The sequence below is a fragment of the Homo sapiens genome, chromosome 7 (assembly GCF_000001405.40).
Source record: "Homo sapiens chromosome 7, GRCh38.p14 Primary Assembly".
NCBI classification, from domain to species: Eukaryota; Metazoa; Chordata; class Mammalia; order Primates; family Hominidae; genus Homo; species Homo sapiens.
Genome location: NC_000007.14, coordinates 80348729 through 80352448, shown reverse-complemented (window position 1 = coordinate 80352448; position 3720 = coordinate 80348729).

The following is a 3720-nucleotide window of genomic DNA, read 5'->3' as shown; positions in this document are numbered from 1 at the left end:
TGACCCACCAGCGAAATTTTTGCTTCCTGTTCCCACAACATTAGACATCTGCTGGCCTAGAGGTCTTAGTTCCAGAAGGAGGAATGCTGCCACCAGGAGACACAACAATAATTCCATTAAACTGGAAGTTGAGATTGCCACCTGGACACCTTGGGCTCCTCCTACCTCTAAGTCAACAGGCTAAGAAGGGAGTTACAGTGTTGGCTGGGTTGATTGTCCCAGACTATCAAGATGAAATTAGTCTACTACTCCACAATGGAGGTAAGGAAGTGTATATGTGGAATACAGGCGAACCCTTAGGGCATCTTTTAGTATTACCATGCCATATGATTAAGGTCAAAGGGAAACTATAACAACCCAATCCAGACAGGACTACAAATGACCTAGACCCTTAAGAAATGAAGGTTTTGGTCACTCCACTAAGTAAAAATCCACGACCTGCTGAGGTGTTGCTGAAGGCAAAGGGAATATAGAATAGGTAGCAGAAGGACATTTGTTTGCAGAACATGTATATTCTTTCTTTTTTTTTTTTTGAGTCTCACTCTGTTGCCAGGCTGGAGTGCAGGGGTGTGATCTCGGCTCAACCTCCGCCTCCCGGATTCAAGCAATTCTCCTGCCTCAGCCCCCTGAGCAGCTGGGACTACAGGCACGTGCCACCACACCCAGCTAATTTTGTATTTTTAGTAGAGATGAGGTTTCACCATGTTGGCCAGGATGGTCTCGATCTCCTAACCTCATGATCCACCTGCCTTGGCCTCCCAAAGTGCTGGGATTACAGGCATGAAGCACCACACCCGGCTAGAACATGTATCTTCTAAAGCTGAATTCAACTGTATGTAATTTTAAAACCTTTTAATGACTGGTAGTTTTGGTAAAGCAGTGTGGAGAGAAGAGGAAGAAAAGGTATCCAAATAGGAATGAAAAGGAGAAATAATGAGTAGAGAAACTATTAGGAAAGGGAGTGAGGGAGACAGAAGAAACAAAGAGAGATAAGGGGGACAATTGTGGAAATACTGTTTACCTAGAGGAGAAAAGGAGACAAAGAGAGATAAGAGAAATCTCTACTGAAAAAGCTCAACCAAAGAAGAAAGTAAATATACCATCTCAGTTCTAAGCAAATTCACTTGGACACCCAGGACTGGATATATTGGATTCCAATGAATTTTTAACAATGAAAAATAATTTTACCTTTTTTCTTTCTTTCTTTTTTTTTTTTTTTTTGAGACAGGGTCTCACTCTGTTACCCATGCTGGAGTTCAGTGTCATGATCATTGCTCACTGCAGCCTCGACTTCCTGGGCTAAAGCAATCCTCCCATTTCAGCCTCCAGAATAGCTGGGACTAAAGGCACAGGCCACTGTTCCTGGCTAATTTTTATATTTTTTGTAGAGAAAGTGTCCAACTATGTTGCCCAGGTTGGTCTGGACTCCTGGGCTCAGGCTATCCTCCCACCTTGGGCTCCCAAAGTGCTAGGATTATAGGTGTGAGGCATTGTGCCCAGACACTTTGTTGTCTCTTTCTTTTTTCTTTACATAGTCTTATTCTACTCTTCCCATAGGAATGATTATATTTTAACATTTTATAATATCTATGGGAAGCAACTTCAGCTAGTTTGAGCTCTTCACAGAGTTCTCCTACTGCCATGACTGAATTGTTTACTCTGGCTCCCTGCTGCCCTTAGACCAAATGGCTGATTTCATGAGAGTAGGGACAGTGGTTTACTCACCACTATAAATCAGTAGCTAACCTAATTCCTGGCACATTGCAAACACTTTTATCAATTAATATTTATCAAAATATTAATATTTATTAATATTTATCAAAATATTAATATTTATTAATATTTATCGAAATATTAATAAATAAAATTTAAAAATTAATCAGGTGTCTTCATCAAATTTTCTAGCCTCCTAGCTAAACTTCCAAATATGGATAACAAATGAAATAACAGCACAACTCCATTTAGAACAGAAAAAATGGGAGGGAGGAGATAAAGATGATGTAAGGCATGATACCTCCTATTTTGCACTATATTTAAGATTCATTTTATTTTACCTCACAATTTACCACAAGAAAGCTAGAAGTTTTTGTTTTGCCTTTCTACATATTTCAGCTTGGAAATGTTATTTTTAGCTACATATTTATTTTTACAAAATCACACCACAGCAAAATGACTTGGGCACCCTGTAAAATTTATAATGAAGGGACCTTATGTGTCAATCAATGGTATACAGACATGTTGCTCAGAATACTGCTCCCTTATTTTTCTACATAATGATCACATTTGGGAGAACTGGCCTTTTTCCAGGTCCAATGCGCTTTGCTGTTGGGATCTTACATCCCACTTGATGAGGTCTTCTTAGCAAGGTTACCCTACAGCAAAGCCATGACATAGAGAGTAAGGGCTCCTTGACTTTTGTCCTCCGTTTCTGCTCCTTGCTGTCAGCCCCCCAAGCCCTCATGCTATCCCAGAGGGCATTGCTCTTGGGTGGTTACTCCCTCTTCTGCCATTGCTGATAGACTGTATTCCCAGTCGGCTTCCCATGTAAGTACGTGCATGCACACACACACGCACACACACACACAAACACACACCGGCACCCCTTCCAGCATGGTATTCTGAGGTTAATCTTAATGTCCAACTCTTCACCAGAGTTAATTTACACTTAAAAAAAACCCAAAGCATATATGCAGATGGTTAAAAATCAAGTAATTTAGAGGAACTTATAATGAAAATCATCAGTTGCCTGTTTGAATTCCAGTTTCTCATTTTAGAAACAGATGGAAATTTTATGGCTTTTGGCTGCTTATACTCTTATTTCTTTATCTTTTAAATAATCATTTCTACACATAATTTACTTCATGCTTTAATCTCTAAGAATTTATCTTACACTACTTCTCACCTCTCTCTTTCTTCCTCCAATATATTTCTATCCTGTCCTTACTTCCCCTATAATTCAAATTACATTCATCACAGAATTGGAAGGCTCAAATATTCTACAGCTATCATCATTATTATACAGCCATGTAAACTCATATTTGTGAAGACAAGTTAATAACACGGTAAAATGTTGACCACTTAAAATAAAGTGCAAGTTTAAAAATGCATATTTATCAATATGGTGTGATTCAAATTCTATAAAATATATAGATTTTATGCAATAAAATTATAGAAAAGAAATATATGAGTTGTAATGTTCAACTCAGCAGAATAAGATTATAGATAATTTTAATTTTCCTGTTTATATTTTTCTACATATTTCTAAAACAAATACATGTCACTTAGAATTTTAAAAATTAAGGGAGAAAATAACCCCTTGAGAAGTACGAGGAATTAATACCTATAATGAATTTTAAGCCCATGGTAAGGCTAATTTTAGGCCATGTTCCTCCCGTTATATAAACTTTGGAATGCTTATTTCACCCAAACCCTACTTTTCCACCCAAAATATGCAAACTGATGACAGGCCAGAGATCCAAATCACTATAAAAATTCAGGACATCATCAGAACTTTTAAAAATGAAAATCCAACAGTTTTAATTAAGTGCATAATACATATGTATGAGTGCATTGTCTTTTGTAATAGAAGACACAGCTGTTTGGTATGGGTTTGAAATCCAATTTAAAATTTTGTAATCCTATGCTAATGATCTAAAGAAAAAAGGAAATGGTAGACAACAACATTTTGCATTAATATTAAATGTTCTCAATGCCAGAGGA